Source organism: Homo sapiens, chromosome 15 (assembly GCF_000001405.40).
Source record: "Homo sapiens chromosome 15, GRCh38.p14 Primary Assembly".
Taxonomy (NCBI): domain Eukaryota; kingdom Metazoa; phylum Chordata; class Mammalia; order Primates; family Hominidae; genus Homo; species Homo sapiens.
In genome coordinates this window covers 50,593,908-50,613,938 of record NC_000015.10, presented here as the reverse complement: position 1 = coordinate 50,613,938, position 20,031 = coordinate 50,593,908, and the positions used below count along the sequence as shown (strand labels likewise).

The window sequence follows — 20,031 nt, the reverse complement described above, 5'->3', positions numbered from 1 at the left end:
ACAAACACATTTGCACACATATATAAATTGATTCTTGAATTTTTATAACATGTCAGCACGTTTAAATCTATAAAAGCTAATAAGATCTCATTTTCAGAGGTCTGGCCGAAATACCTCCAGCAGCACTCCTCAGTTGCGAAAGAGTCATGAATCTTTTGGCAATAGGGCAGATAAAAAGGAAAAAATGAGGCATAACCATTTCATTAAGACAGCACAGCCCTACCGACCAAAGGTAAATTTATTTAAATATTATTCTTTCTGGGTTTTTATTTTCTTCTTTCTAAATTACTTAGTATTATTAAACAAAAAAAACTAATTGATTTAGTAAGAATTACCTTTCGTTTTTGGATATGTCCTAGAATTGTCATTTTCTCACACACAGAGATATTAATTATAAGTTAATGATTCTGTTCCTTTTTTTTTTTTTTTTTTTTTTTGAGACAGGAGTCTTGCTCTGTCACCAGGCTGGAGTGTAGTGGCACAATTTTGGCTCACTGCAACCTCCACCTCCCAGGTTCGAGTGATTCTCCTGCCTCAGCCTCCCGAGTAGCTGAGACTACAGGCACCCAGCACTACACTGGCTAATTTTTTGTATTTTTAGTAGAGACTGGGTTTCACCATGTTGGCCAGTATGGTCTCGATCTCTTGACCTCGTGATCCATCCTCCTCAGCCTCCCAAACTGCTGGGATTACAGGCGTGGGCCACCGCGCCCAGCGTACATTTTCATATTTAGGTATGATAATAACCAAATTAAAATGTTTTAATAAATGTTTACCTGACTCCTTTCATTCCAGTTTTACTTGATTAAGAACATGTATAACAAAAATGTTATCTAACCCTTTATTAAAATTATGTTCTATTAGAATATTAGTTGAAATATTTAGGCCCTTAAATTTTGGAAAATGTTTATTGCAAAGGCATTTTTGTTGAAACAGCATTTTCATAAAATGAATTATGAGCTATAATAAAAATCAAGTTTATAAAATTTATGCTATTGTGCAGTTTTATGGAGCTGAATAATGTAAAGATATTTTACTAAAATTTTCACTGACATAAATTTCATATGGCCTTATTATAATGAGCTTTATAACTTTATTTTCCCTGGAAGATTGATACAGTTATGGAAGAAGGAAAGAAGAAAAGAACCAAAGATGAAATTGTAGACATTGATGATCCAGAAACCAAGCGCTTTCCTTATCCACTTAATGAACTTTTAATTTGGGCTTGCCTTATGAAGAGGCAGGTCATGGCCCGTTTTTTATGGCAACATGGTGAAGAATCAATGGCTAAAGCATTAGTTGCCTGTAAGATCTATCGTTCAATGGCATATGAAGCAAAGCAGAGTGACCTGGTAGATGATACTTCAGAAGAACTAAAACAGTATTCCAAGTAAGTGGTATTTTATCATTTGAAAACATTTTAAAAATTCAAAGTAGGTATTGTTTGAGTGGCTGTTACAGTGCCACGTACTTAATGGTGATGTATTTATATGTATAATCTTATTGGTACAATTGACAGAAAATTATATAAGTATATATTTTTTTAATTAAAAGAAACTTTCTGCCTCTATGAAAAAGAGGTTATTATATTTGCAACTCAAGAATTAAATATCTCAGCAAGAAAGAAGAAATGCAGCCTGGGCAACATAGGCAGACCCCGTCTCTACATGAAATTTAAAAATTAACTGGGTGTGGTGGTACTTGTCTGTGGTCCCAGCTACTCAGGAGGCTGAGGTGGAAGGATCACTTGAGCCTGGGAGGTTAAGGCTGCAGTGAGCTGTGATCATGCCATTGCACTCCAGCCTAGGTGACAGCAATAGACCCTGTCTCGAAACAAAGAAGAAATGCCAGAATTCATTTTAATTTTTGCAAATAGTAGCAATTGGATTAGAAAGTTCCATTTGAATTGGTAAGGAAAGGGTGGAAGTGAAGTTGGAGCTGTGTTATAAGAAAATAGACTGAATTCAACTGGGAAGGCACTTCAGAAGCTAGAACTACATACACAGAGTAACGACATAGTTCATAAAAGTTTACAATTTACTTAGAGGGGCAGTGTTGGAATATTAAACTGGAAAAGTAGTTTGTAGAAGTTTTCTAATATATACTAAGACCTCCGGCTCCCCAAGTGGGGTATTTAGAGGGCAGTGATAATTGTTACTGAAAATAACTCTTTAACAGGGATCCTATGGTTACTTAGTGGGACTTCAAGATTCAGATGTTTTTCATAATTAGGTTAGTCCCTAGTCACATTGTTTTTCCTCTCTACCAGGTACCAACTGTTTTCTGTGTTTGAAATACTACATAAACTTTTTTGAACAGAGCATTGTAGCATTGTGAGTTTTGATTCCCTTTGAGATTATAGTTTGATTTCTAGGACCGGGAGAATGTGCTCTGGATTCACCTTCTCAATCTTGTACATAATGCGACATATTTTAATATTTTGTGATTTCCACATAGATGTAGATGTCTGAAAACAGAGTTATGGTTTTAATGCCTCATAATTCTGTAAGTGTGTGTGAGAATATTAAAAAGTAGGAAGTATTAATGTATATAAGAATAGTGGTTTAAAATTGCAGTTTGTTAATCTGAGTATATTTTGGCTTTTATCTTTTTATAGTGATTTTGGTCAGTTGGCCGTTGAATTATTAGAACAGTCCTTCAGACAAGATGAAACCATGGCTATGAAATTGCTCACTTATGAACTGAAGAACTGGAGTAATTCAACCTGCCTTAAGTTAGCAGTTTCTTCAAGACTTAGACCTTTTGTAGCTCACACCTGTACACAAATGTTGTTATCTGATATGTGGATGGGAAGGCTGAATATGAGGAAAAATTCCTGGTACAAGGTATACTTTAGAAATAATTTGATATAAAGCATGTGATTAGATAAAAAGAACAGAAGAATTAGTCTAAATGTGTAGTAAAATGCCTTGATGTGTGAGTGTAATGGTGGGGGGTAAAGAGGGAGCAAGATGGATGATTGGCATTTCATCCCAAGTGGTATAATGGGCTTCTTTTTTCCTCTACTTAACTTTTGAATCCTTTTCAGGTGTCTATAATGATTATGGCCTCTCTTTGAGCTAGAAGGGGAACAAATGGCAAATATTGGAGATTATGGCCCCTAGCAGCCTTGAAAAAAGTTACTACTTTATGAAAAGATTATTCCCAAATTCTGAAATTCAAGACCTATCTACTAATTTAATAATCTGTTACTTTTAAGTTACTTAAAGTATATTGGATGAGTATATTGATATACCCATTATAGATAAGTATATCCATGTGGCCTGTTTTTATGATTAAAAATTTGGGTAAAATGGCATGTACCTTTGGTTTTGTCATGGTGATAGATACTGCTTTGAACTTTGCTTTTTGTTATCTTATATCTTTTAAAATAAGGTGCAGAAATGTAGGAGTCAGAAATCAGGCAAATAGTTTAACCATAGGCCACTGAATAACCAACAGAAAACCTGTTACACAATTACAATTTCTTCATGCTTTGGGATTTTGCAAGTAATAAGTAAAATTTTAGAAATAAACCTTTTTGTTTATAGAGGCACAAGCTGAGTAATCACATTATGACATGGAACACTTGCAAAGAGATTTAGGATAAAATTAAGGACATAGCACCTTTATAAGGCTTGAATTTTGTTTAAACAAAATGTATTTTTTGAACAAATTGTAATCTGATTTTATTTAAAGGACAAGTCTATAATAATTATTAAATCTATCCTATACCCTTATTATCATAATAATCAAATGTTTTGTTACTCTTTAAAACAGTTAAACTTGGGCCTCTTTAAATACAATATATAAGTAAAAAATCAATTTGTTGTTTTTTTTCCCTCTACTGCTAGGGGCAAAATGGCTAATCACAAGATATTTAAAATCTTTTATTGTTTTTATTCTTTGTTTTGTTTTTATTATATTCTTGAAGGTCATTAATTTTTAAATGCAAAATTATGTTTCTAAAAATTTAGGTCATACTAAGCATTTTAGTTCCACCTGCCATATTGCTGTTAGAGTATAAAACTAAGGCTGAAATGTCCCATATCCCACAATCTCAAGATGCTCATCAGATGACAATGGATGACAGCGAAAACAACTTTCAGAACATAACAGAAGAGATCCCCATGGTAAGCAGGAAAACATTTTAAAGTAAATATAAGTTTGTTCTGAATAATTGTACAAAAGAATTTTTTTTTTTTTAATTTTAGGAAGTGTTTAAAGAAGTACGGATTTTGGATAGTAATGAAGGAAAGAATGAGATGGAGATACAAATGAAATCAAAAAAGCTTCCAATTACGCGAAAGTTTTATGCCTTTTATCATGCACCAATTGTAAAATTCTGGTTTAACACGGTATGTTTTTAAATTACACAAGCATAATGTTTTTAAGAGTTAGGCTTTGGGGGACCATTGGTTCGGAATCCATACTAATGTTGATATAACTTAGATCACTGAAAAGGCATTTCACATTTAAAAGAGTGATACATTTGCCTTAGTTTCATTTAAATTGTCATCATCTAGAGTGATAAACACTAACAAATTTTAGTTCTAATTGGAACCAAAAATGTACTTAACAAATATACAATACCATTGGCCTTTGTAAGTTGGTAGCAAATACTAATCAACTAGTAAAAATAATGATAAAAGATGGACCAAAAGAGATTCTGATACACAGTTATAATTTTTTGTGCTTTAGGATTTTGCAGATGATACATAAAAGTCTAGAAATAAACCTGTTTGCAGTGTTAATTGATGATGATAAAAAGTAATCCAGATTGTTTATATGGTTTTATTTATCTGTGGCTTATTTCTTTAATTGTATTAAAGTGTATGCTTGATTACCTTCCATATAATTGGCTTTTCTCTTGCTTTATGGAAAAATTGATTTTACTAGCAGGTTAAAGAGCATATGTCCATACAAGGATGGACTCACCTGTTATTTTGGTTGAAATGTAGGTGTTTATGTGTTGTTTTGGTTGTTTTGTGTGGAGAATGAGCACTAGGAAATATTAGTTGGCTGTCTTGCTGGTGCTACTTTCCCTAGCAATGGACCAACCTGAAGGAACAGGTGATACAGCAAATGAGATTAGCCCCTACTTTTAACCAGGGACTGAGTAAATGAGTTCTTAACTCCCCGTCATAGGAAAACCCTTAATGAAGATGTTTTTTAACTTTGTTGTTGGGGAGATTTTTTCATTTTCATCAACAAGAATTTGTTTCTTTGGTGATTGCTTTTTCACCCACACATGTGACCATTAACCTGAGACTAACATTTCCTTACACCTCTATATGAAAATGTTCTTGTTCCTTCCTATTCAGAGGCTGGAATTGCAAATATCAGTTATCTGATCTAATCTCCAAATTCTGTCTCCACTGATGAAAATAGGGCAGTTTGCTTACATTTGCATTCATGTGAATGGCTGCGTTAAAATAGCCAACATGGGTGACTACAGGAATTTCTCTTTTCTTTCTTTACTGCAGTTTACTCCCTAGCCTGCCACAGATAATCAAATAAAGGATGTGACTTATTCTAGGACTGGTGGAGACAAGACATAAAAGTCTAGAAATAAATAAAAGACAGATGAGAGGATTCTTACCCATAATTTTTCAAGGGTCAATAAGTGTGGGTTTTCCTCTGAAATGAAATAAATACTCACATGTATTTATACATAAACTTTAGCACCTCTCTGTAACCTGTTTTGTAAAGAGTATCAAAGGTGGGCTGTTTCCTTACCTGGGTCAAAGCCACTTCACATTTTTTCCACTTTTTGGGGTTCAACTTTAGTGACTGGGAGCTAAGAAAATACCAGTTGTCTGTCTGTCTTGTCTTGTCTTTTTTTCTTTTCTTTTCTTTCTTTCTTTCTTTTTTTTTTTTTTTTTTGACAGAGTCTCGCTCTGTTGCCCAGGCTAGAGTACAATGGCATGATCTCAGCTCACTGCAACCTGCACCTCCCAGGTTCAAGCAATTCTTGTGCCTCAGCCTCCCGAGTGGCTGGAATTGCAGGCATGCACCACCACGTCTGGCTAATTTTTTTTTTTTTTTTTTTTCAGTAGAGATGGAGTTTCACCCTGTTGGCCAGGCTAGTTTCGAACCCCTGACCTCAGATGATCTGCCTGCATTGGCTTCCCAAAGTTCTGGGATTACAGGCGTGAGCCACCGCGGCGTGCCCCAGTTGTCTTTTTTAGGAATACTGTTTGGTTTGGGGAGGAAGGAGGCAGGAAACATGTGTTCCTTGATGATTATGGTGGTGAAATTCTGCAGTAATTTTAATATATTATGATACTGTAGGTATGAGTTAAGCAGAATTGTGTGGCATATGCTGAGAACATAAACCTGATTGTAAAATCCCTTCTGTGGGACGTTCTAAAGGTTGACAAGAGTTGTAGAACAACACGTTTATACTCTGGGGACCATTTATACACCAATAAATGCAATGTCTGTGCTGAAGAAGAGATATTTCTAAAATTGTTTTAATAAAGGAAACTAGGAGATAATTTACAGAGGTTCATTTAATGTCTGTTTTTGTGTGTGTTTGAAAATGTTCATAATTAAAAGATTTATTTTGTAACCAATGTTATTTATGTAACCTTTACTTTTTCATTAGTTGGCATATTTAGGATTTCTGATGCTTTATACATTTGTGGTTCTTGTACAAATGGAACAGTTACCTTCAGTTCAAGAATGGATTGTTATTGCTTATATTTTTACTTATGCCATTGAGAAAGTCCGTGAGGTATGTCTTTAGTTTTTTTCTACCAATAATTTACTGTATACATGGAAGATTTTCTGTTTTGTTTTGTTTTGGGTGTATACGTAGGGGGGTGTGTGTGTGTATGATGACATTGTAGAAGTGTAGAACCTGTGTAATTTTGCTGTTCCCAAAATAATGGCAAAAGAATAGAGATTAGTGAGTATGCTGTATACTTTGTTGCCATTACAGATAAAATGATTTGTGTTAGAAATGTAGCCTATAAAAATGTAACCTGTATTTTGTTTGTTTGTTTTATTTCCTGAACATTCACATTTTTGCTCTCTGTCACTCTTCAAAAAGTATTAAATATACTTAGCTAAATGACTTTTAATTTACCTACCTGATTTAGCCAATTAGGTAGGTAAGTTATAAATAGGTCTTTAGGCCAGGCGCGGTGGCTCACGCCTGTAATGGCAGCACCTTAGGAGGCTGAGGCGGGCGGATCACTCGAGGTCAGGAGTTCAAGACCAGTCTGGCCAACAGGGTGAAACCCCATCTCTACTAAAAATATAAAAATTAGCTAGGCATGGTGGCGGCCACCTGTAATCCCAGCTACTTGGAAGACTGAGGCAGGAGAATCACTTGAACCCAGGAGGCAGAGGTTGCAGTGAACTGAGATTGCACCACTGCACTCCAGCCTGGGCGAAAGAGTGATACTCTATCTCAAAATAAAAATAAAATAGTTAGGTCTTTTTTAATATCCTGATTTTGAAGAAAATCTTTTTCGTAATATTTATACTTTGTTTTTGAAGTAGTAGCTACATGAATATTGGGTTTTGTTTGTTTGTTTGTTTGTTTGTTTTGAGACGTAGTCTCCCTCTGTGACCCAGGCTGGAGTGCAGTGGCACAATCTCAGCTCACTGCAACCACTGCCTCCCGGGTTCAAGCGATTCTCCTGCCTCACCCTCACTAGTAGCTGGGATTACAGGTGCGTGCCACCAAGCCTGGCTAATTTTTGTATTTTTAGTAGAGATGTGGTTTCGCCATGTTGGTGAGGCTGGTCTTGAACTCCTGACCTCATGATCCGCCCGCCTTTGTCTCCCGAAGTGCTAGGATTGTAGGCGTGAGCCACCGCACCTGGCCATGAATATTGTTTTATAACATACTTGCATAAGTACCTCTGAATTATTTCATGTCTCTACCTTACATTTAGAGAATACAAGAAATTGCAAAAATAATTAGAAGGTGTTGTACTTCTCTCTCACTTAGATATCATAAGAATTTCTTTTTTTTTTCTTTTCCAAACACCAACTCGAACCAGAAGGAATTTCTTATTAGATAGCTTATTTTGCATTTTAAATTCCTCTGAGTGTTATGATCCATATGTTTATTAAATCTGTTGTTTTATCAGCATGTTTGAAGAAATTGATTTGTTAAATGATAAAAGCAAATTGCAAAGCGTTTTAAAATATGTATATTCATAAAATAGCTCTGCAAGTGTTCATGAGACAGTAATAGTAGTGGTTGCTTCTAGTGGGAAGAGTAATTAATTGGCTAAGGGAGAAGAGTGAAACGGATGCTTTGCAGTATTTATGATACACCATGAATTTTGAAGTTGTGAATGTGTTACCATTCCTCCCAAAAGATGATTCTTAAAATTCATATATTCAGGAGAAGAGGCATATGTTTTAAATTAGTTAGGTAAATACAGCTACTTAAACCATTGAGTTATTTACTTTCTACAAAGAAGGCAGGTTTGGCAGCTACTACCAGGATATCCAGGTGCTGCCTTAATTTGAAATAAAACAATTTTTCAAAAGTATTTTACAATCCAGGTCTAGAGAACTGGGTTGTAATCTGAATTTTCAGCTTCTTAGTTGGATGAATCTCTGGAACCTGGGAGACGGAGGTTGCAGTGAGCCGAGATTGAGCCACTGCACTCCACCCTGGGCAATAGAGCGAGACTCTGTCTCAAAATAAATAAGTTAATAAATAAAAGCTATGTGAAATTCTACTGTAATGTTATAGTTGAATGCTGTATGTGTTTTAATAGGAATAAACTGATTACACTTTTTTTTGTTGTTGTTAAACCTTTAGATCTTTATGTCTGAAGCTGGGAAAGTAAACCAGAAGATTAAAGTATGGTTTAGTGATTACTTCAACATCAGTGATACAATTGCCATAATTTCTTTCTTCATTGGATTTGGACTAAGATTTGGAGCAAAATGGAACTTTGCAAATGCATATGATAATCATGTTTTTGTGGCTGGAAGATTAATTTACTGTCTTAACATAATATTTTGGTATGTGCGTTTGCTAGATTTTCTAGCTGTAAATCAACAGGCAGGACCTTATGTAATGATGATTGGAAAAATGGTAAGTTGACAGATGTTTGATAATACTCGTGGGTTTATTGATTTTTTAAAAAATCACAAAAATGTTATTAACATAGTTTTATTTGAGCCAGTGAATGTCTTTTATTTTGTGTTTGTTTGCCTCATACTTCACATCTGCCATTCCTTAAGAGTTTCTCATGCTCAATCCCAATCCCCTATACCCATTTAGTGCTTTGCAAGATAATGTTAGCTATACCATCTATGGTTTATGTCTGTAGGTAACTCCTTTTTCCTGTCTTCACTGATCCAGGCTTTTTTTTTTTTTTTTTCTTTTTGAGACAGAGTTTCGCTCTGTCACCCAGGCTGGAGTGCAATGGCACTATCTTGGCTCACTGCAACCTCTGCCTCTCAGGTTCAGCGATTCTCCTGCCTCAGCCACCCGAGGAGCTGGGATTACAGGCATGTGCCACCATGCCCAGCTAATTTTGTATTTTTAGTAGAGACAGGGTTTCACCATGTTGGTCAGGCTGGTCCCAAACTCCTGACCTCAGATGATCTGCCCACCTTGGCCTCCCAAAGTGCTGGGATTACAGGCGTGAGCCACCACACCCTGCTTGATCCAGGCTATTTTTTAAAAGTTAAACCCAAAATACCTAATCTTTTCCTAATACAGTATGCCCAGTATTTTGCTCTTTTCCTTAGTCTTATCTGAGTGGCAGGTTTTATTTTTTAAAATCTAGATGTCAAGTTGAATGTGTAATTTTTTTATACACTGAATCTGAAATATATTGGGTCTACTCCTTGCCGTAATTCCTTTTAGTTTTCAGTGGTGAAAAAGGCAAAATTTGTAATATAGCTATTGCTATTCCTTATTCTGAAATTCCTGTTCATCCTAGGAAATTTCAGCAAATGCAGACAAATCACTATTCAGAGACATTCACTATTAACAGTTTAACGTACATCCTTCCATCTCTCAAGATGTGTATGAACACATGTGTTTGTTTCAGACTTCTTGTAAATAAATATATACAGTAGTTTTATCAAAATATGCTTTAAAAATACATGCTGTTTCTCAATTATTTTAAAATAGTTGTCCCATTTTAATAAATATAAAAAGCTATTCTTAGAGTTTCTTATACTCCCTTAATCTTAGAAAATCAGTCTTCTCTTGGAACCAACCCAAATGTCCATCAATGATAGACTGGATTAAGAAAATGCGGCACGTATACACCATGGAATACTGTGCAGCCACAAAAAAGGATGAGTTCATGTCCTTTGTAGGGACATGGATGAAGCTGGAAACCATCATTCTGAGCAAACTATTGCAAGGACAGAAAACCAAACACCGCATGTTCTCACTCATAGGTGGGAATTGAACAATGAGAACACTTGGACACACGGTGGGGAATGGGGAACATCACACGCTGGGGCCTGTCATGGGGTGGGGGGCAGGGGGAGGGATAGCATTAGGAGATATACCTAATGTAAATGAGTGCAGCACACCAACATGGCACATGTATACATATGTAACAAACCTGCACATTGTGCACATGTACCCTAGAACTTAAAGTATAATAATTAAAAAAAAAAATCAGTCTTCTAAATTAAATATTTCTTGAGTAACCCTGCTAAGCTCACAAGATTATCTTCGCATCTTGAAAACAAGATTTTTAGGTTTTCTAAATATAAATTATTATATTTGCACTTTCACGCTGCACTGTTTCCCTCCAAGAGAATGTGTCTTCCCCCCCTTAATTGAGAATAACTGGTGTACTGTTTTTCACATCAAAGTATTACTCATTATTCACACATTTTGGCATTCTTATGGTATTTCAAGGAAAAATAGGGCAGTTAAGGTTTTTTGGGAAGAATTGGTTTTAGCCTAACATTTTAGCATGCAAAAAAGGTGTTGTAGCTCTTATGCTTACCAGGTTATTTAGTGACTCAGTGGTGTCTAGTTACTTTAATGGTAATGTAAATGGAAGAGTTAGGAAGTACAGAAGCCTTTATTTGTGATCTTCTCTAGAACCACCCTCTGCTAGGATGTCTTTCTCCTTGTCAGCTAGTCATTTGTTCCGTCATTGTGTGTTTTCCCTAGTGCCAGCTTCCCTTTACATCCCCTTTGGAAGTTTCATAATGGTTACTGTTTTAGTTCTAACATTCATTATTTCGTCATTGTGTATCTATTACATGTTAAGAGTTAAACTAAGCTGGGGCTACAAAGATGAATAAGACATGGTCCAGATCTTCGTGGAACTCAACAATTGAGTCTCTAAATATAGACATGTGAACAGATAGGTAGCTATTGAAAAATATGATAAATTGTTACGTGAAGATAGAAGAGCTAGTAACCAATTCTGTCATGAAGGCTTTCACAAAGATTATGGCATTTCAAAGGAGTTTAGAAAATACGTAGGATTTACATAGGTATACATGCACCATGTTGGTTTGCTGCACCCATTAACTCATCATTTACATTAGGTATTTATCCTAATGCTATCCCTCCCCCTGCCCCCTACCCCATGACAGGCCCCGGTGTATGATGTTCCCTACCCTGTGTCCAAGTGTTCTCGTTGTTCAGTTCCCACCTGTGAGTGAGAACATGCGGTGTTTGGTTTTCTGTCCTTGCAATAGTTTGCTCAGAATGATGGTTTCCAGCTGCATCCATGTTCCTGCAAAGAACATGAACTCATCCTTTTTTATGGCTACATAGTATTCCATGGTGTATATGTGCCACATTTTCTTAATCCAGTCTATCATTGACGGACATTTGGGTTGGTTCCAAGTCTTTGCTATTGTGAATAGTGCCACAGTAAACATACGTGTGCATGTGTCTTTATAGTAGCATGATTTATAATCCTTTGGGTATATACCCAGTAATGGGATTGCTGGGTCAAATGGTATTTCTTTACCCTAGAACTTAAAGTATAATCATTAAAAAAAAAAAAAAGAAAATATGTGGGATTTTTCTTCTGAGCAGGGAGTTTCTAACCAGAGGAAACAGCTTTGAAAAGCTTGAAGACAATAAAAGATTAAAAAGAAGAAACCTCCCTCACACTTTATAGGCTAGTGCAAAAGTAATTGCGGTTTTTGCCATTAAAAGTAATTGCAAAAACTGCAATTACTTTTGCATCAACCTAATACATCTTTTAATAGCAGACTAATGAAAATTATATGGTAAATGCTAAACTTCTCACACTCATTCTGTATGCATTATAAGAATCCTCATTTTTAAAAATTTTACTTTATTTTATTTTATTTTTTAAGATGGAGTCTCGCTGTGTCACCCAGGCTGGAGTTCAGTGGCGCGATCTGTGCTCACTGCAACCTCCACCTCCTGGATTCAAGCGATTCTTCTGCCTCAGCCTCCCGAGTAGCTGGGACTACAGGTGTGCGCCACCATGCCCGGCTAATTTTTGTATTTTTAGTGGAGACAGGGTTTCACCATATTGGCCAGGCTGGTCTCACACCCCTGACCTTGTGATCCGCCTGCCTCGGCCTCCCAAAGTGCTGGGATTACAGGCGTGAGCCACCGTGCCCAGTAAAATTTTACTTTAAGAATCCTCATTTTTATGAGCAAGCTGATACTCACATATTTTTAATTAATTAAATTCCTATCAAGCACAAGGAAAGTGGTTGTCATTTAGGCTTTATGTGAAAAGCTGTGTGAAATGCAAAGATGACTATGAATCATCAACCATAGACCTTGAATAATTTTAGTTTACGTCAATACAGATTTGCGTTTCATTTGGAATATTTGACTTGGCTTTTCCTTTAATTACAAGCATTTGTATTCTAAAATATATCAAATAGCATGAATAATGTTTTAATACTTTTTTTGCCTTTTAAAATCTTTTAATATACTTTTTGTTTTGCAATATTTTGTTTATTTGAAAGCATGCATTCTCTCAGTACTGTTCTCAAATGCTCAATGAAGGCATTATTTGTCCATTTTGCAAATAAGAACACCCAATTAAGAATTTTGGAGCGTGTTAGGCCTCTGCAAGTTGCAGAGAGCCAGCTCTTAATTTAAAAAGAAAATTTATTTGTTCATCTAACAGAATTTTAAAGATGAAGCATCAAGTCTCATCTCTTCATTTGAATTGACATTTTAAGACTCGCAGCTATCTATACAACTTTTCTTTCTAATCTTAAGCCCCTATAAAATTACTTTATCCGGCCTTGACTACTTATTGTCCCCTTTACCTTTCACATCTTACTTTCCATTTCTGCTGTCACTGTATATTCATTTTAAAAATATATGGAAATGTCATAATTTATTTTAAGTTGTCATTACAATTATTTTAAGTTTACAGTAGGTTAATGTACAGATTTATTGTAAATGTATTCTCTTTTGCATGAGGCTTTTCTCCTCAGCTAGATGATTATTTATGAATGAATATTACATATTGCTAGAGTGAGAAAGCATTCACTTTTTTATATGTATATTCCCTTTTTTTTTTTTTTTTAAGATGGAGTCTCGCTCTGTCTCCCAGACTGGAGTGCAGTGGCGTGATCTTGGCTCACTGCAGCCTCCGCCTCCTGGGTTCAAGTGATTCTCCTGCCTCAGCCTCTTGAGTAGCTGGGATTACAGGAGTGTGCCGCCACGCCCGGCTAAGTTTTATATTTTTAGTAGACACAGGGTTTCACCATGTTGGCCAGGCTAGTCTCGAACTCCTGACCTCAAGTGATCCACCTGCCTCGGCCTCCCGAAGTGCTGGGATTACAGGCTTGAGTCACTGTTCCTGGTCGTATATTCACTTTTTTATATTGTCTAGGCTAGACAGTAAGTAGTGCAGGCTGGAGAACTTATATACCTAAATAAGTAGATGGGAGGTGAAGTTTTATTATAGCATTCTGCTTAATTCTTTGAATCCTTAAATAATTATGTCAAAATGTACATTGTAATTTAACAATGAAAATAATTTTTCAATGAATTACTAGGTTTTAGCTCAATTAGGCCCTTTTTGAATTTTATTGAAATTAAAGAATTACAAACTACATGACTTACAAAAGTATTTGTTTCCCAGACATTGGTGTCTTTTAGTTTTTCAACACCCATGCTAATAATTCAGATTGTTTTGTTTGGCTCCTAGGAAGTTTTCATATCCCAGGACAAGGCACCCATGGATTCAGGGTGGGTGGGAAGTGTTCTTTTTTTGTGTGAAGTGGGCAAAGTACAATTACCAGAGGCAACATGGAAAAGAGAGAGTCTGTGCTTCCATTATAAGAACAGAGAAGCTTTAGGAAAGGGCAGTTGTGGAAATTGATTCCCTAAATCTGTCTGTGTCTCTGTACTTCTTGAAAATCTTCACGTACCACAGAGATAGGTACACTTCAGTTTGAACCAGTGATACAATTCATTATGTAGATAAAGATGCCCATGACTTGCTTAGCTTAATAGATTTTTTTTTACGTAATCTCCTAGATGTTAAGATTTATATAGTGATGAAATTCTTCTGAAAGCTATCACTAGGAACAAAAAGAATCTCAAAGATTTTTTGTGTTTAATGGATTTTTTTGGTCTATTAGAACATTAGAAGCTTTTAGAAAGATTTGTCATAGTGTTTAAACTTCCTTGTATTTTAACAGTGTTCATTTTTTAACAGGTGGCCAATATGTTCTACATTGTAGTGATTATGGCTCTTGTATTACTTAGTTTTGGTGTTCCCAGAAAGGCAATACTTTATCCTCATGAAGCACCATCTTGGACTCTTGCTAAAGATATAGTTTTTCACCCATACTGGATGATTTTTGGTGAAGTTTATGCATACGAAATTGATGGTAAGAATTGTATATTTACAGATTTATCTTTTGGTTATTTTGTGTTTTAAAACCAATATTGAATTATAGTAATATTGCATATTTTCAGAAGTCAAACTATTACCAACCTAAGCCCCACACAAAGGCGTTAGTGAACTCCAGAAGAAACATACAAATTAATTGGAAGAAAAAATATTTTAGAATTTTTTTAGTGGCAGGTATTAGAAGTCTAGTCTAAACTGTCCTAGGACACAATAAGGGCATTTATTAACTCACATAACAATATTGAGCTAGGTCTAGTGGTCTTTAGGGTTGGTTAATTCATAGCTAAGGACACTTGTTCTTTTTCTTCCGGCTGCCAACTCTATAAGTTTCCCTTATGATTCTAAGACTGTCATTAGCAACAGGAGGAAAGAGACACTGTTTATCGATGGTTCTCTTTAGAGGAAAATGTCCCTTTCATAGAAATTCCCTTTTGAACCTGTCCTTTCATTTCATTAGCTTGAGTTGGCTTCAGCCTGCCTATCTCTAAAATGGTTACAGACAAGGGGGATGGGATTACCATGATTAGCGTAGATCATTCAGGTAGATTCGATATTGAGAAGTCAAGCACAACGTTAATTACAAAAATAATGATCCTGTGTGAATACTGAAAGCTTACAGCATGTTGAGTTTTACAGATGACAGATACTCAAGATTTTTGTTGCAGCTTGTGAGTACATTCTCTGGATAATCAATGACGTAACTCCCACTGATTCAACCCTGTTCTTAGAATATTAAGTTTGTTGTTCAATTTTGTTACTATTCACATTTTGACTCTTACATTGTCTTAGTCAGTGAGACTAGATAACCTGTGAACATAAGTGATGCTGTCAGCTTTCAGTGATATTCTGCTGACTTCCACATTTGAGATATAGAATCTTTATTTTGTTGATTCTCTCTCACTCTTATTCTTTCTTCTTCCTTCATTCTTACCTCCCCCAATATCTGTGTTACTCCCTTCCTACGTATTTATGGGTGATTAGGTCAAGGGTTGGCCATGTAGTGAGAGGATTGTGGTTAGGTCCAAGGGTGGCCACATAGAAAATTTGTGGTCATTATTTGTTCTTGGGCGGTAGTTAAACTAATGTTGTTTTACCAGCCTGGTCAAATTTTGTGTTTAATGGCTTCTGTTTGGTGTTATTTCCAGGGTTTCATTGTCTGCTACTTTTTTTTTTTCTTTTTGAGACCGAGTCTCACCGTGTCACCCAGGCTGGAGTGCAGTGGTGTGGTCTTGGCTCACTGCAACCTCTGTCTTCCAGGTTCAAGTGATTCCCATGCCTCAGCCTCTGGAGTAGCTGGGATTACAGCTGCATACCATCATGCCTGGCTAGTTTTTTGTTTTTGTTTTTTTAAGTAGAGACAAAGTTTCACCATGTTGGCCAGGCTGGTCTTGAACTCCTGACCTCAAGTGATTGGCCTGCTTTGGCCTCCCAAAGTTCTGGGATTACAAACGTGAGCCATCACGCCTGGCTGTCTGCTATTTTTCTAATGATATGACTCTAATTGTGTAGTTGTTATAAAGCATTGAGTATAGTTTTTTAGTTTCCTGCATTCTCTTTCTTGGGTATTTGCTTCCGCAAACTAATCTGAATAGAATGGAAATAGATTCATAAAATTATTTAAGAGTGAAAAGACCTTACCATTAATTTGCCCGTAAAACCATTTAAAGGAATCATAGAACCGTATGAATGTCATTGATGCATATACTTTTTAAAAATTACCAAATACTAAATGCTAAGTGTACTATAAATATTTAGCTAGAACTTATCACTAATTCATCATTATTTAATTCTAATCCTCGCCCTGCCTAATTTACTTTATTCCTTGTAATGCTGTTGGGGGTATTAAAGCTCTTCCTTTCCTTGTTTGTAATTAGCTATGTTCTGGCTTCAGAAATTTTTCAGTTAGGGGTAATGAAAAACAAGGAATTCAAATCTAATCACGGTATAATTGAGAAGCACTTTTAGCTATTTCTTCAGCCCCATTTTTGTGACATAATAAGATAAACTCAATATTCTTTATTAAATGTATATGTTTTGCTATGAGTCAACCATACTCTTAAAGTTGAGTCATGCGTATAATCCCAGCACTTTGGGAGGCTGAGGCTGACAGATCACGAGGTCAGGAGTTCGAGACCAGCCTGGCCAACATGATGAAATCCGGTCTCTACTAAAAATGCAAAATTAGCTGGGCATGGTGGCGCATGCCTGTTGTCCCAGCTATTCGGGCGGCTGAGGCAGGAGAATTGCTTTAACCCAGGAGCCGGAGGTTGCAGTGAGCCGAGATCGCGCCACTGCACTCCAGCCTGGGTGACAGAGCAAGACTCCGTCTCAGGGGAAAAAAAAAGTTTGGACATTTTTCTTACAGAAATATTATCATATGGTTGATCCAGGAATTTTACCCTCTTTAGTGCTCGTCAGGTTAAACCCTGCCTCGAAGGGTAAATATAACACCTAAATATACTTTCTTTTCTGGAATAGAGTTGTAAAACAGATAGCACCCACATTTCTCACAACATCTTTTTGTGTTTGAACACTCTTAAGCTGGGGTTCCTATGTCTCCTTGCCCAGATGCTTTTGCTGGAATCTGTGAAACAGATTTGTACATAATCGAAACTTACTTTAAGTAAATAAATAACCAGAAACACTCATGAATAGCAGTTACTGATGAATTACTATTTTTAAGTTGTTTTTGTTTTTTTCTTTTTTTCTCTCTAAAGTGTGTGCAAATGATTCTGTTATCCCTCAAATCTGTGGTCCTGGGACGTGGTTGACTCCATTTCTTCAAGCAGTCTACCTCTTTGTACAGTATATCATTATGGTTAATCTTCTTATTGCATTTTTCAAGTAAGAATTTTGTTCAATTGTTTGTTATAAGATGATTTAATATGCAATTCTACATATTTTGAAGGAAATTTATAGAACTTAAAATCTAAAAATTTTATTGAGGCTTAAACTACTAAAATTATATTTGAAAAATTACAAATAGGAGATGCTTTTTCTAATCAAATGAGTTCTAAATTTTAAGTTTGATTATCTTTCAACCTGCAGTTTTCTTTATAAATTTAATCGTTATCTGGGATTTTTCCTCGGTTGCCAACAAATACGCATTCAATATAGAAAATTCATCAGTAATTCCACTGTTAATATTTGGGTGTACACCTTTCTATCATTTTTTTTGCAAATATATGTAAACCATTTTTCTTTTCAGAAATAGTATTTTTATTTAATTTATTTATTTTTGAGACACAGTCTCCCTCTGTCACCCAGGTTGGAGTGGCACAATCTTGGCTCACTGCAACCTTAGTTTTCAGGGTTCAAGGGATTCTCATGCCTCAGCCTCTTGAGTAGCTGGGATTACAGGTGTGCACCACAACGCCTGGCTGATTTTTTTTGTATTTTTAGTAGAGATGAGGTTTCACCATGTTGGCCGGGCTGGACTCAAACTCCTGGCCTCATGTGATCCATCCACTTCAGCTTCCCCAAGTGCTGGGATTACAGGCATGAGCCACAGTGCCTAGCCTATTTTTATATTTTATGTACTGTTTTATAACTAAGCAAAGCATCATGAACATTATTTCAGATAAACAAATATTCTTCTCCAGTCTATTTTTAATGGCTACCTGATACTCCATGATATAGACCATAATTTTTCAATCTAGTATGTTGTATTGGTCAATTAGATTGTAATTCTTGCTCCTAAACACCACATTGTAGTTAAATCTGTGAGCAATACTTGCTTGTTTAGAATGTTTTTCTAAAAGCAGGGCTGTTCAGTATATGTACTTTTAGGGCTTTTGCACTTAAGTCTAAATAGGCCTGTTTCCTCAACTCGGCCCACACTGAGTATTTTTTTTTTAATGGTTGCCAATTTGATAGTAAATAAAATTATTTTATTTTATTTTTTGAGACAGCCTGTTGCCCAGGCTGGAGTGCAGTGGCACTATCACAGCTCACTGTAGCCTCTTCCATCTGGGCTCAAGTAGTCCCTCCTGTCTCACCTCCAGAGTAGCTGGGACTATAGGCATACACCATCACGCCTGGCTAACTTTTTTGTTTTTAAATAGACAGGGTCTCACTATGGTGCCCAGGCTCGTCTTGAACTCCAGGCCTCAAGCACTCCTCCTGCCTCTTGGCCTTCCAAAGTGCTAAGATTATAGACATGAACCACCATGCCCAGCCAGGATTTTGTTTTTTAAAATTTGCACTTACTTGATTACTAATAAGTCTGAGTATTTTCTTATGTCTTACCCATTTACATACAATATTTTAAATTTTTTTAAATTATTTTTTTCTGCTGAATGTTAGTCTTTGCCTTATACTTACTGCCTGTATCTTTTCTAGTTTCTCATTTGCTATTAGTTTTGTTTACAGAAGGATATTTTTTGAATTATTATTTAGTACAGAATTACAATGAAATCATCAGTATTTAAAACTTTAAGAGATGATTAACAAAGTTTATTTTATTTTTATTCATTATTTCTCTAGCAATGTGTATTTACAAGTGAAGGCAATTTCCAATATTGTATGGAAGTACCAGCGTTATCATTTTATTATGGCTTATCATGAGAAACCAGTTCTGCCTCCTCCACTTATCATTCTTAGCCATATAGTTTCTCTGTTTTGCTGCATATGTAAGAGAAGAAAGAAAGATAAGACTTCCGATGGACCAAGTAAGTAAACTATATTAAGGCAAATGTTTTCATTTTATCACTTCTCATTTTTACACCAAAGGCTATATATTGATTTTATTCAAAAATGACTTAGTGGATTAATGTTATGGTAGATTTTTGTTAAATATGCCTGTACATAAAGGAATTTTTAAGTGCAATATGATATCTATAAAAATGGATTTAGCATTAAACTTCGTTATGAGAATGGCGTCTCTGTTTCTGTTAAAATGGTAATGTAAACCGAACTTCTTTGTTGTTCTACAAACCATTTTTACAGCTCTGTAAACAATAACAATTTTAGTACATTCTGTGTACATGAGACTAATCATACTGTGTCAAATTATGCTTAAAATTTTACAGGGACTTTCAAATTAGTTCTTAAATTTCTCTGAGTAGATACGTGAGGGAGAGGTATGAGAGAGATAGCGGAGGGATGTTGTATAGGAAAAGGAAATCAGAAGAGGAGGAGGAAGTACCTGATTGTATTCTGCTGACATCACACTGGTGAAGCAAAAAAGAAA

General features: G+C 35.8%; 1 protein-coding gene across 5 annotated transcripts in view; it reads left to right on the top strand.

The window, feature by feature from the left end:
* TRPM7 (transient receptor potential cation channel subfamily M member 7) overlaps window positions 1–20,031 on the top strand; it is a 129,640-nt gene that overhangs the window by 72,859 nt on the left and 36,750 nt on the right. For 2 of the 5 annotated variants that reach the window (NM_001301212.2, NM_017672.6), the window contains exons 15-24: window positions 98–232; window positions 1,110–1,390; window positions 2,618–2,846; window positions 3,978–4,133; window positions 4,215–4,358; window positions 6,611–6,739; window positions 8,795–9,073; window positions 14,643–14,817; window positions 17,558–17,684; window positions 19,326–19,510. In NM_001301212.2, the coding sequence (NP_001288141.1) occupies window positions 98–232; window positions 1,110–1,390; window positions 2,618–2,846; window positions 3,978–4,133; window positions 4,215–4,358; window positions 6,611–6,739; window positions 8,795–9,073; window positions 14,643–14,817; window positions 17,558–17,684; window positions 19,326–19,510 (1,840 nt within the window). The remainder of the gene's footprint in view (window positions 1–97; window positions 233–1,109; window positions 1,391–2,617; window positions 2,847–3,977; window positions 4,134–4,214; window positions 4,359–6,610; window positions 6,740–8,794; window positions 9,074–14,642; window positions 14,818–17,557; window positions 17,685–19,325; window positions 19,511–20,031) is intronic. The other 3 variants (NR_149152.2, NR_149154.2, NR_149153.2) reach the window with 3 other exon arrangements.